This window comes from Homo sapiens, chromosome 2, assembly GCF_000001405.40.
Source record: "Homo sapiens chromosome 2, GRCh38.p14 Primary Assembly".
Classification (NCBI taxonomy): domain Eukaryota; kingdom Metazoa; phylum Chordata; class Mammalia; order Primates; family Hominidae; genus Homo; species Homo sapiens.
In genome coordinates, this window is record NC_000002.12 from 105,267,848 (window position 1) to 105,281,966 (window position 14,119).

The 14,119-nt window shown below is 46.5% G+C and overlaps 1 protein-coding gene across 3 annotated transcripts in view; it reads right to left on the bottom strand.

The window, feature by feature from the left end:
- TGFBRAP1 (transforming growth factor beta receptor associated protein 1) overlaps positions 1–14,119 on the bottom strand; it is an 80,332-nt gene that overhangs the window by 18,444 nt on the left and 47,769 nt on the right. For all 3 annotated transcript variants that reach the window (NM_001328646.3, NM_001142621.3, NM_004257.6), the window contains exons 6-11: positions 12,535–12,876; positions 9,767–9,824; positions 7,713–7,856; positions 5,697–5,843; positions 5,008–5,167; positions 1,425–1,858 (exon numbers count right to left, since the gene is read on the bottom strand). In NM_001328646.3, coding sequence (NP_001315575.1) covers positions 1,425–1,858; positions 5,008–5,167; positions 5,697–5,843; positions 7,713–7,856; positions 9,767–9,824; positions 12,535–12,876 — 1,285 coding nt within the window. The remainder of the gene's footprint in view (positions 1–1,424; positions 1,859–5,007; positions 5,168–5,696; positions 5,844–7,712; positions 7,857–9,766; positions 9,825–12,534; positions 12,877–14,119) is intronic.

Here is a 14,119-nt window from a genome sequence, read left to right on the forward strand (position 1 = left end):
GGCTCTGATCATTTCAAGCAAGGCCTGTTAGAAAGTCATGAATGTTAATGCTGAATGAGACCATATAATAGTGTAACTCCAGGGTTCTCTCATTTGCAAATAAGAAAAGTAAAGCACAAACAAATAAGGGATGTAGTCAAAGTTACACAGCTAACAAGTGGCATATTCCTGGTTGGTCCTGGGAGACACCCTTCCGTTTCCTTAGAGGTAACTGGTGAAACTGAGTCTTAATGCCATCGGTCCCTGTCTGATCAACAGGACTTGAGTTCTGAAAGTTATAAAGTTTTTCTACACAATTCACTCGTGTCAACCGAGGCAGGTTGGTCTATTGGCAGGATCAAGCAGCAACTTAGCGATTCATCCTGCACTCCTTAGTTGCATCAGTCATTCCACAAACACGGATTAGATGCCTTCGACATGGCAGGCTTAGCCCTACAGACACTGAGATAAAGAAATGAAGTTCCCTGTCCTCAAAGAACCCAAACTCTAATAGTAGCGGGTAACAGCTGTGAATGCGAACACCAAGTAAAAGTGGGTGAAAGAGAAGGTGATTACTCTACTTAAGAGGTATGAGATGGCTTCACCAAGGGAAAAAAATAAAGGCTAAATTTTGACTGGGCATTTGCTGGGGACAAAGAAAAAGGTAAGAATATCTCAGGCAGTGGGTACAGCATTTACAAAAGCAACAAAGTATGAAATACCAAATCACATCTGGAAGGTTGTGCTAAAGCCAGGACATGAGCTGGGAAGCAGAGAGAGGTGGGGAGGGATATGCTGAAGGAGGTGGGACTGCATCTTCCAGGACAGGGAGCGTCAGCAAAGGCTTCTAAGTGGGAGGGGAACACGTCGGATACCCGCTCTGGAAAGAAGACTCTGCCAGCCATGTGGAATTTAGGCCCACAAGAAAGAAGTCTCCCGAAGGTGAGTACAGTGTGGGGACGAAGAATGTGGGGTTCTCAACTGGCCTGGGAGGCAGCTCTGGGCACGCCCATTTCCTGAGCATGCGACTGCTCTCTGCCTCAATTTCCTCTCCTGTGAAATGGAGATGCTGACAGTAAATACTGCATAAAACTGTCATGATGACAAAATGCAAGCATGACGTAAAATGCCTAGGTCAGTGCCTGGCACACAGCACATGCTGGGTAAGCGCCTGATATTCTGATGCTGCTCTCCTCCCTACAGACTCTCTTAATCACCAGCGTCCAAAAGGGGAGAAAAACTACACCGATGTTACACCTACCAGCCCAGCCTCTGCCTCTGCTCACACAGACCTCAGTTTCTATGAGTAGGATCAGATATTGATGTGTTGTAGTCATAGAGACAGAAAAAAGAAAAACCAACAAAGACTATTTTTCCATCAGTAAAATCTACCTTCAGTACAATGTTGACTGACCAGGAAGCAGCTCGTGGGGGCCAGCACTTACCTTATCGTAGGTGTAGATTAAGTTTTCGGACCTGGCCAGGCCGAGAGCCACCTGCATGGTCCTCCTGGCATGGATGCTGTCCCTCATGGCCCCCATCAGGAATGGGCAGAGGAGCTGCACTGACCAGGTGTCAGGCAGCATCTGCAGCACCTGGGCTGCATCAAATTCGGTGGCGTGGCGGTTCAGCAGGTCCACGGCAGCCACGGCCAGCTCGTGGGCAGTGGGGCCAGCATGCAGGTAGATGGCCAGCAGCGTGTGAAAGAGTTGCTGGCGGTGGGGTGGGTCTCGGCCCTCGGAGCACCACAGGCAGTAGTCCTCGGCCGCTGCAAAGTCCTGCAGCTCGTGCACCAGGATATGCAGCGCCTTCTCATGCTCGCCCAGCTTCCCGTGCAGGATGGCGCTCTCCATGGGCAGGCCAGCTCCCTGCAGCCTCTCTGCAAGACAGAACCTGCAGCTCAGAAAGAAAGGGGCTCGCCGGCCACCCGCCCAGCGACTGGCCTCCTTGCTGCTCTGGGCTTCAGGAGGGGAAAAGTCAACCTGGCTCCCTCACAATGCCAAATGCTGCCACCCAGATGACTGAGGGTAGGTTTTCTTGCATTTTCACACTGTGAATCCAGGTGTTAGTAAAACAGAAGGCAGACTCTACTCAAAAGTATAGCTGGACCACAGAATAATTCCTTTCTCTAGTGTTCAGAGGATGAAAAGAACAAATGAACCACAACTACAGAAAGGCCCAGTGGCTCAGTGAGTATCAGCCTTCCAGGTCTCCAGTCACTCCATCATCACTCCTATCCTCCCAGGACAGTATCTTTTGACTAAAATAGAAGGACACTATGTCCCCTAAAATCCTAACAAACACTACTTCCCCCCAAAAGATGTGCTGAACCCCTTTATTCCAATGTAAAGTAGATTTCATTGAATGGAATATGAGCTCATATTATTCAAAATCCATCTCTACATTACTCAACAGAAGGTTGCCAATAATAGGATTTTTTTGTTTGTTTCACCTGCAATTAAGCTTCCAGGTCCTAAGGAAAATGACATAACCCAAAGCGTCATTCCTGACCAAGGCCCCACCCTTAGTGGGCTGTGTCTCACGGGCAAAGTCACCTTGCTTCCTACCCCATCTGTAACCCCATCTGTAACTTCCCACCCAGCCCGTCTGGAACTGCACCAGCCCTTATCTGCATTGCAATTAAACTCTGAGTCTCTAAGGACCAGAAGTGAGGCTCATCTGTTTTTACATCCTCAAGAGATTATAAGATCTCTTCCTACTGTGAAGAAATATTATGAGGACAACCCCTAGTTTAGGGTCAAGACTAATAATCAAATTATAGGCATTTGAATCTTGGCTGTCGCTTAGGCCTGAAGAACATGGCAGACATTGCTACCTGTGTAGCCAAGGGCTGGCCCTGCAAGGTACATCCCTTATAGCACTAGACACAGAAGCCACAATACGCAACGCCTTCATCCTCACAGTGGAAGGCCAACAAATAATTACTAAGTGGCTGCCATAGTTAAGACCCTGGGTGAGGTACAAAGACAGTTAAGAAAAGATCACTGTGGTGATTTACACTTCCACATCTATCATCTCATTTATATTTGACTCCCACAGCCACCCCGAGTGGATAGGTTGGGCTGGAATCGTTTTTACAACTTCCCTAGACTGACATTTCCCCAAGTCATCTAACTAAGAAGGGATACAAAATCAGTGTTTGGATTTCCAGTGCTCCTCCCACAGTGCTGCGGGGGATACCCCCATTGCCTGAAAGCTCCCCTGTGCTACCTGCAAGCCCAGGCTTATACCTAATGACTGCTCATATAGGGCCTCTTCCGGGAGGCTGCCTCTGACCCCTCCACCCCAAGGCACAGCTCGTGGGTTCCTCGGCCCTTCTAGAACTGTACCTGCCCTTAACTGCATTCCAATTAAACTCTGAGTCTCTGAGGACCAGGACCAAGTCTCATCCATCTTTGTATCCTCAATGCACAGTGACACACTCTACATACTCAGAAAAGCTGGCGGAATGCAAACATTGAACCACACACTTGTGGCTGGCCTGAGAGTTTTATAAGGAGATTTGTAAAGCAAAAAGAATAAGTCAGGAGTGAGTAAAAATTCAATAGCTGGGACACCCTGGCACTGATCAGTCAGGGACGGTGGCTGTGAGTGAACAGAGATTGCACAGCGGATCGCCACAGAAAGTCCTAATGTAGGTGCAGGTACAAGCCAGAACTAGTGTTTGCTGGTTTCATGAAATACCAACCCACACCTGTGTTCTGGCTCTACTGCTCGTGGGCTGTGTGACCTGTGGCAAGCGGGGTAACCTCTCTGGGCTTCAGTGCACTCTTCTGTAAAAATGGAGGAAAAACAGGCCTCACTTCACAGGGTTGTTGTGGAAACTGTGTCATAAGGCAGCCTCAGCGTTTCAACCTATGCTGGGCATATCTAGTCAATCCTCATTATTTGTGGATTCTGTATTTACAAAGTCATCTACTCGCTGAAATTTATTTGTAACCTCCCAATCAACACTCGCAGCAGCTTCAAGGTCATTTACGACAAGCACAGAGCCTGATGCAGAGCTGAGGCCAAAGAAGGAGCGCCCTCCTTCCTTGCTTCAGCTGTCGTACTAGCTACACGTTTCCTTTTCACGGGCTATTTATTGCCATGCTTTTTTGCATTTTGGTGCTTCTTGTTGGTGATTTCAGTGTAGTGCTGAAGTGCTGCCTAGCGCTCCTAAGCTCTGGAAGGTTGTGATGTGCTTTATGGAGACAACACGTGTGTTAGATATGCTTTGTTATTGGTCAAAAAATGGTATTAAAGGCCATTAAAGAAAAACACATCACTAACCCCAGTGAGTATAAATGCAGAAATTCTTAATGTGGCAAGAAACTAGTTAATTCTACCAGTTGCAAGCACCATGCTGCGCTGTGGAACTTTACACAATACAGAAACTGTGGCCTCTGTACCCCTGAGGAACAGAAACCCAAATGCCCTCCAAGACACCTGCATAACCTTCTTGCTTAGAGCTCGAGGGACCTGAGCCTTGAGCAGCTCGGGAATGGGTCGCTGGGGGCAGTGCCTACTGCAAAGCCTTGATCAGAGACTGAAGCCGTCAGAGGGAACTATGACTCAGTGCTTTGACATTGAATAAAGACACTGTGTGTCAAGAGACACACAGACGTCTAAAGTCTACCAGGGCAGCACCAACATCATCAATCAAAGGGCACCGTCCATCTAGAGGCACGGTCCATCTCTAGAGGCACGAGAAGCCTTATTTCTCCCTGCAAGGAGGCTGACTCTGTCAAAAGAGGCTCAAGGGCTGAGTGTGGTGGCTCACGCCTATAATCCCAGCACCTTAGGAGGCAGAAGCAGGAAGATCACTTGAGGCCATGAGTTTGAGACCAGCCTGGGTGACAAAGCGACACCCTGTCTTCATTTAAAAAAATCTTTTTAAAAAAAGAGGCTCAAAGAATCACCCTGTGCAATCAACCAGCAGCTGTGCCAAAGCCCTTCTCTCTGCTTCCTCCCACCCGCTTGATATGAGTTTTTTCCAAAGGGAGACAATACTGAGATCATCCTCACCGAGAAGAAAGTGGACTCGGTATAAATCAGATTTCTGGAGCAGCCGCCGCAGCTTGGCCTGCGTCTCGGTGGCCTCTGCACCCTTGCCACTGGCGGAGGCCCTCTGCAGCAGCACCTCTTCCAGGTACAGCACAGCTAAGTGGGTGTGATACTCTTCTTTCTGCAGGAAACAGGGGGAGCCAAGCAGACAGACAGTGTTTTCAAGTGGGAAAGTCAAAGCTCTCCCCTGTCAGCCAGGGCTTGGAGACCGCGGCTGCACTGACATGAGCTGGGCAGATGCTCACTTGCTGGATCGAAACCCTCTCAGAAACCATGATACTGAGATGAGTTTACCATCTATGGGGAATAGAACAAAATGTCACCTCTTATTTCAAGAAGTAAGGGCCACAGAATTTAGATAACCTACAAAAAGGTATAGCTCCCTTTATTTCCTTTAAGGATAATAACAAAGAAGGAAAAGAGAGGAAAAATAAAAGCTGAGTGGGTGTGAGACGGACGGAGAAAAAAATAAAGCTACCTATTGCTCCAGGTCTCTTTCCGCAAGCCTCAAGGCCGCCATCAGACCATCAACAAGTACGGATGGATCACCCAGGGAACAGACATTACACAGAATCACATGCCAAAAAGTGTTCTAGTTCAATTCCGTCTCTCCAGCCCACACTCTTTAGTCTAACTTCTGCAGTGCTCACCTGCAGTCTCTTGTCTATCACAAGATGTTCCAGATACTTCACAAGGGCTTTAGGGTATTTTTTAAGGCAATTGATAATGTCGTCTGGATTAAAACTGTTCTTCTGCTGTTCATCCAAAGGTCTCTTGGTGAAAACCTGAACTCCGACCTGAAAGAGGAGCGACAATACAGTGACTGTGCTTCCCAAACCCACCTTTCCTTTAACTTTATTTTGGTCATTGCACATTCAAGCTTTGGATAAAATCATCACTTAAAATATGATTAAATTATTATGTATGCACAGCTTTTTGTATGTCAATCATATCTCAATACAGTGGCTTAAAAAATATAATTATGGAGAAAAACAGCCCAGCATGAAGCACTGTCAAAGGCCAGAGGGCAAAAAATCAAGATAGAAAAGCCAGCCTATACCCTGAAGTCCTCCTCACACACCCCATGCAAATTGGAAACTGAAGAACAAAGCATTTACTGGTGACAGATTTTGACAACCTATAATAATAACATTAAGATCATCCAAGAACAGGGATAGCCAGTTGCAGAACAGTATGTGAAAAGATATCAAAAGTGCTGAAATTTCTGTACAGTAAACTCACTTCTCTGAACATGGATTATCTACTCTGGGTTATTTATGATAGATGGTTAATCTGAGATCTGAGCTTCCAGTCCCTGAGTAAGTTTCCGGGCTGCCTTCCTGTGTCCATCAAGTGGAGGCACTGGTCCAATCCTCTGGTTCAAGGAAAGGACAGTGAGGCAGGCAGGAAAGCAGCTCTCCACTGCACCTCCCCTGAGCACTTACATGTGGGAGGTTCTATCATGTGCACGCACACACGCACCTCCCCCCTCCAAGGCCAATACATTCACGTATCATGTATTATGGTATGAATTTTGGATTCTATAAGCCTGGATTTGTGTCCCAGCTCTACCAACTATAGCCTCAGTTTCCTCATCTGTAGCTAATGCCCACTGAGGGGCTGCTATGATGTTTAAGCGATGACCTTTGTCAGGGGATTGTCCACCGTGCAGTATCTGCTGTTATCATCCATAAGCATTGGGAGAAGCCTAAACCTTGCAACGGCACTGAGATCCATGTTGTAGGTGTGTGTGAGCAGGTCAGGATGTGCTCTGCAGGCGTGTGCACAGAGGCAAAGTAAAGATGGAGAAACAAGTATGCAAAGTGCAAGTGCCTGGCTCTGATTTTCCAGGGAAGCCAGCACCACGGAGGATATGAGAATATATTCCAACTCAGGTCTTAGAAAGGCAGATGCAGCACTCAGAAACTCTCCATTCAGGACCAACGTCCTGCATCAGAAAGCTCATTTTGTCTCTCCAAGGGGAGCCATGGAAGCGTATACGTTTTTCACGATGAGAACTGAAATGCTTGCTGTCTTCTTCCCAGTCACCTGTGGTCACCTGTGGGGCTTTACTAAGGATACTGTCCTGAGCCTGCTACCTTCCCTCTAGCCAACAGGTGCTTTTTCACTGCCAGCATTTCTCAGCCTCCAGGACAGGCCGAGTCTTGCTCATGGCTCCCCTCCCTCCTCCAGGCCCACAAGCTCCATGTTGGCAGTGGTGGGAGCAGGGATGAGGGCCCAGTGTGGCCCAGGTCTGGGTGCTTCCTCCTCCCAAAGATCAAGTCCTTCAGGGCAACCACCTAATCCTGCTCCAGAAAACAGCAGTGTCAGACTTCTGAGGGGTCGAGGAGCGGGGTTCACAGACACAAGTTCTTAAGAAGATGCTAAAAATGCAAGCTGGCTATGTCTTGCTTTTCTATACAAGTGACTTGCCCCAGCAAGGGGATTCTCAATGGAATGTCTCAGCAGCAAGATGCAGAACTGCCCTAGAGCTAGAATCCAGAGAGCTCAAGGGAAGGTATTAAAAGGGGAATAATAACAACAACAAAAAACAGAGGAGGAGGTTGAAATGTAGCTTTCTTTTCCCCTCCTAAAAGCAAAGCTTTTGGGGTCTGTTTTTACCACCTCCCCCAACCAAAGAGAATGCATTTTTACGAAGCACAAACCTCTTCACTTTTCTGCAGGACCCAATCAGCATAGGCCCACACTAGTTCCTCGTCTAAGCAGTAGGTAAGAAAATCCACGATGTATTCATACAGGTCTGAGCGTGTGGAGTCCTGGACATCGCCATTCACAATGTTCACCCACAACTGGAAAGGAATCAAAAAGAAAAAAAGAAAAAGAAAAGAAAAAACAATCATAAAGGCACATATCTCAGAATTAGTTGAGAAATGGCATATGTTTACTTATTTGGCTTTTTAATACCTTTTAAAGTAGTTGGAAAAACTGTAAATGCTTAAATTTTAGTTTTTTTGGAGAAATAAAGAAATGTAAAAAGACATAGTCCAAGAAATAAAAAAAAAAATTAAGCTCTAGGTTCTTTTATCTTTCTTTCTTTTTTTAACAATAACACAGTAAACAGAATATATGCAGGGAGGTGAATATATTAAAAATGTTTCTTCATGAAATAAAGAAAACGGTCACTGATAACATCTCGACACAGAGAAGATTCACCTACAACCATCAGCCAGGCTCTGTTTCCATCTTCTCCGTCACAGACATTCTTGATTTTGAAGTCCCCTTTGGACTGTGATAGGCAGATGTTGTGCTTTTACAAAAGCTTCAGTGATTCTGTCCCCTGAGTTCACACTGCCTTTTGCACAGGGGGCTCAGGATAGACTCCAGTGATAAAAGCCTTTTGCTTTTTCAGCCAGAAACTTCCCTACCATGTTAAGTGAAGCCTACTTTCAGGACCCCAGAATGAGGCAGCATCACTTGGGGGTAGAAAGGATGACGGTTGCGTGGGTTCCTTCTGCAATACCTGCATGGCGTGCCTCACCCACCCATACACAGCACCACCCCTCCAAGCCACAGCACCAGGAAGGAGCCCAGAAACAGGGGTGGCATATGAATTCTGGAATTCTGATGTCAGCATACGAACATTTTTTATGATACTAGTTTCTTCAACACAGAATTGCTGAAACCAAATAATCACACATACCTTGAAATATGCCATTTTATATAAAATTCTACCACGTATGGAGATTTATCCCATATCACTTCAAGTTTGCAAATCTATCTCTCTACAGCTCTGCTAAAGTTATTACTATACTTATATAAAGCTGTAACTGAGAACACCAGGTTTTTGAAAATGAAAATTTTATCACTGACACCCAAATCTACTCTTGGCCATTGGGTACGTGTTAATTCACCCAACTCCATTTTTTGTTGTTGTTGTTGTTCTGCTCTGCAATCAGGTTACCACAATAGTCTCACAAAGCAATCAAACACTAAATACATGTTCAGCCTTGCCAGAGTCATGAGGTTAACTTTAGCTTGGGGAACATGGCTGATGCTCTTGGCCCCTCACAAAATAAAGCAAAAAGGCACATCAGGAAACAACACGGTGCAGTACAAATGCATAACTAATAACGAAGGGGAGAAAGTCTCCCCCTGAGAGTGTGAGATGAGGCTTTTCTCAAGATCAGTAGCAAGATGTAAGATACAAAATGTGACAATGCTAATAAATCGATGCCATTTTGATTAGGGTGCAGGACCCCTGCCAGGCCAATGGAGCGCGGTTCAGATCCCAGATCTACCACGGACACATGGCCTCGGGCAAGCAACTGGCATGCATCAGCTTTGGTTTTGTCACAGGTGACACAAGGATAATAATGTACCCAGCTCATTGGCAACAGTGATCATCACTAACAGTGGAAATGGTAAATCCGACTATCATTCACTGCCTAAATTTTCTGATAAGGGTAGTGATATATTATGACTTGGAACTCTGTGAGATCATATTTTCATTTCTTAAGTTTTCAAAAACTCAGTCTTGATAATGTTCTTTAAGGAGATGGAAAGACAATGAGAAGAAAACTCTTGGCCAACATTTCTCCAGGAATTCACTTTCTAAAACAGAATCATTTTTATTCTGTATAAAAGGGTGTAGATCAGGCAAAAGTGGTCTCTATCAACTTGTGAATTTTTTTTAAGTAACACTAAGTATTACTTACATGGTGCTGATTTTTAAATCATGTGGAAACCCTTCTAGACTCACCTGAACTGCAGCAGCATCTTGGTTATTATAATGATAGAGCAGTCCAAGTGCAAAATACCTGAAACAGAACAACACGGTAAGTACAACCTCTCCCCATCAGCTCCTGGAGGCGACCTTCACACAGTGACACCCCCAGTCCAAGCTCCCCATATTCTATTCAACTCGAGTTCAGGCTCATGCCTGTAATCCCAACACTTTGGAAGGCCAAGGTGGGTGGATGGCTTGAGCCCAGGAGTTTGAGACCAGCCTGGGCAACAACATAGTGAGATCTTGTCTTTATTAAAATATTTTTAAAAATTAGCCAGGTGTGGGGCACACATCTGTAGTCCCAGATACTTGGGGTGCTGAGGTAGAAGGATCACTTGAGCCCATAAAGTTAAGACTGCAGTGAGCCCTGATTGTGCCACTGCACTCCAGCCCGGGTGACGGAGTGAGACCCTGTCTCAAAAAATATATGTGTGTGTGTGTGTGTGTGTGTGTGTGTGTGTGTGTGTGTGTGTAGTTCAACAACAACAAACAAACAACCAAAGGATTCTCATTGCTGTATATTTACTTATGGTACTAAAAATATATGCTCTATCAACTTCCAAAAAGAATCTGATTCCAATCTAAGATGAGCTGAAAAAGTAAACTATGGAAAAATCACAGCTGGAGTTGCTTTACAATTTGCTTCAAATATTAATATAATTTCATATGTCTTTGGTCTACTACTATTAACCCACATGAGGTACTAGAAGAATATGCAGAAGCTACTTTGCCTAAGCAGAGACTGAGAAGGAGGGCAGGGGCTCTGAACATGAGGAACAGCAGGAAGTGCTAGTGTCCGGGACTCGCAGACCACAGAGTCAGGGAGCGTCCTGGGGGAGAGTGCCCAGAGTTCAAGAACCTGGGTTTCAAGTCCAGCTTCATTATTTATAACCCGCGTGACCTTGAGCAAGTAGGTTAACTTGCCCAGCCTCTAACTCCTCACCTATAAATGGAAAAGATCGGCAATAGCATTGGCATTGCCTGGGCAGTGAGCCCTCAGCACCCTCCCAAAGTCTGCAAGGGTGCCACACTCCTGGTCCTCCTTCCCAGCAGGAAACTGGAGTAAGTTGACCAGTGAGGGGTCAAGCATCTTCCCTCCAAGGGCACACTCTCAAGATATTGAGGCATCTGCTTGAATCCTTCTCTTTTCCTCAACCTTTTGGAAAGTCATGCTGACTCTACGGATCCCACCATCCCTTGTCACTACCATAAGGTGGCAGTGTGTTTTCTGGCTCCTGAAAAAACTAACACTGATTCCATAGCATATCCGAGTGGCTGATGGAAACTGCTGAAAAGGCCAATACCCACGTGGAAGGCTCTGACATCTCAGATACTAGCACAGTGACCCCAGGGTCTCTGTGGGAGTTCATCCACGCTTTTGTCATTTCAAATCCTTAACGAAAATCATAGACCGAAAAAATCTTATCCTGTAAATGGAGCTGAGGGATCACCCAACCCCTCTCATTTTTAAAGATAAGAAAAGTGAGGCCTAGAATGGTTGGGCTATGTGTTAGCTGCCCAGAATGGAGAAGCTGCTGGCCCCAACTAAGCCAGGCACTATGCATTAACAGTCCATGATACATAAGGCCATCTACTAACTCATGCACATAAGGAAGGCAGAGTTTTTTGTTTTTTTGAGACAGGGTCTAGCTCTGTCTCCAGGCTGGAATGCAATGGTGCAATCACTGCTCACTGAAGCTTCAAACTCCTGGGCTCAAGCAATCTTCCTGCTTCAGCCTTCTGAGTAGCTGGGACCACAGGCGTGAACCACCACACCCAGCTAATTTCTTCTTAATTTTTAGTAAAGACAAGATCTTACTGTGTTGCCCAAGCTGGCCTCAAACTCCTGGGCTCAAGCAATATGCCCACCTCAGCTTCCCAAAATGCTGGGATTACAGGCATGAACCCCCATGTCCAGCCAAGGAAGGCAGAGTTTAAAACCATACCATGTATCAACAAAATCAAGAAGCCTCCCTTTGAATCTGTTTATCTAGCTATCTATTCAATTCAGTTGTCAGTAACTAAAATGCACTGTAAATTTTACCAATAAACATGTGGCATCTCCCACAAGTGAATACGAGGCTGACTACAAAGGAAATTGAAAAATAACTTCATGGCTGGGCGCAGTGGCTCACCCCTGTAATCCCAGCACTTTGGGAGGCCGAGGCGAGCAGACCACCTGAGGTCAGGAGTTCTAGACCAGCCTGGCCAACATGGCAAAACCCCGTCTCTACTAAAAATACAAAAATTACCTGGGTGTGGTGGCGTGCACCTGTAGTCCCAGTTACTTGGGAGGCTGAGGCAGGAGAATTGCTTGAACCCAGGAGGTGGAGGTTGCAGTGAGCTGAGATCACACCACTGTACTCCAGCCTGGGTGACAGAGCGAGACTCCGTCTCAAAAAAAATAGTCATTAAAAAAAAAAAAAAGAAAGAAAATTAACTTCATTTACTCACAAAGCATATTACTAGTTCCAAACTATACTCCAAATTATTAAAGAATGGGAATGAGAACAAATGCCCTCCAAGACCCCTTCAAGGGGTCTGCAGATGGTGGAGACAGAGAGGGCATCTGAGGAGCACATGCATCTGCTGTCACTATGATTTCGTGGCAGTCACCTATAGGTACTTGGGAACATAAACATCACACTGGCTAAGTCACTTCACGAGGATCTCCCCAGCAAAGAGCCTCAGTAAGGGTGCAGGGCGGGAAGCCCTGATCATATCAGGAAGGGAACACTCACTTTTTGTGCTTCTCTAGCCAGGCAGCACTGTCCGTCAGAAGACAGAAGTTCTCAGTGACCAGGAGGTCCAGCAGGCTGTCGTGGTCAGCCTCTGCATACAGTTTGAGCAAGGCTGTGTCGATGTCCTCCTTGTAGCCATTTGCTACCTCTGTGCTGCGGACCTCGTTCAGGTAGCTCATGAGGAAGCGTTTGCACTTGGCCATCTTCTCCTGGTCCCCCTGGGTCAGCTGGTTCAGGTCTGCGTACTCATGAAGAGGAGGGTGGGACCGGGTGAAGGAGGAGGAGGTGGGCAACAGGAAGGGGTAGAGAGAGATCAGCTCCCGGACATCAAGCTGGCCGCTTCTGCAATTACAGTGTCAAACTAAATGAAGCAAAAAGAGAGAAGAGTACACATAGGCACACAAAACAGCACTGGAGGGGAGCGCACGGTGGCACACGTTCACAGGGGGCTGGGGAGCTGGGGACAGGGTAATCATGTCAGAGCAACCGTTCTAATCTGAAGTGCAGCAAAGCACCATCCAAGTGGGTGCTGCCACCTGGCTCCAAAAAAGAACAGAAGGGACGAAGGTGAAAGACACATACAGAACTGGTGTGAGAGTGGAACACCAAAATGCCTATGATGAAGAGAATACCCAGCTGAGCCTGGAAACCAAGGCAGAAAAGCAACACCCAGGATAACACGCCATCAGAGTCTGCGCAAAGGCACCATCACAGCTCTGCTGAAACCAGCATTTTCCTGGCACTAAATTACAAACAGATTTGTTGAATGGTCCTTGAAGAAGGGACTTTATAAAAACAGTAACTTACAACTTCCTCACCAACATCTCACAACAGAAGACACAGAAATATTCATGTGGCCATTTCTGTGGGGACTCTCGTAGAATTTCAGAGCCTAACATTGTAATGCAACAAACAGTTCCTTTCCCATCTCCTCTCCGGAACCTCCTTGTCCTGGCTACAATCAGAGCAGGAGCTGTGGATCTCAAACCTGGCCCAGTGTCAGACCCAGCTGTGGAAAACCTCCTGAGGGAACAGAAGCAGGGGCCACCCCACCCCAGACACATGGAATGGCGAGGAAGGACCCAGGATCCATGCTGCCTGCGATGTTCAGAGCATCCTCCTTCATCCAAGCTCTGATCAGCTGTCCTCCTCTACTGGCTTCCACCTCTGGCTGCCCTTCCTTCCACTTCACTCAGCCTCTCCTGACCTCCAGTGATTTGTATAACCCACAGGATAAATTTCAAATCTCTTAGTATGGCATTCAAGGCCCTTCCCAAACTGATCTCAAGCTACCCTACACCTTCAGCCTCAAGCATCCCTCCCACACCCCAACACTTCTACTAGACCCACTTATGTTGCCAGTTTGTACATTTCATGACTCTCAGCCTTTGCTGTGGTTGTTTCCTGGCCTAAAGCAGTGGTTCTTGGTGAAAAGCAATTTTGTTCCCTGGGGAACATGTGGCAATGCCTGGAGACAATTTTATCATGACTGGGGCGGGGGTGTGCTATGGCATCTAGTAGGTAGAGGCCAGGGCTGCTGCCATTAAACACCCTGTAATGCACAAGACAGTAACCCCCTGCCCAA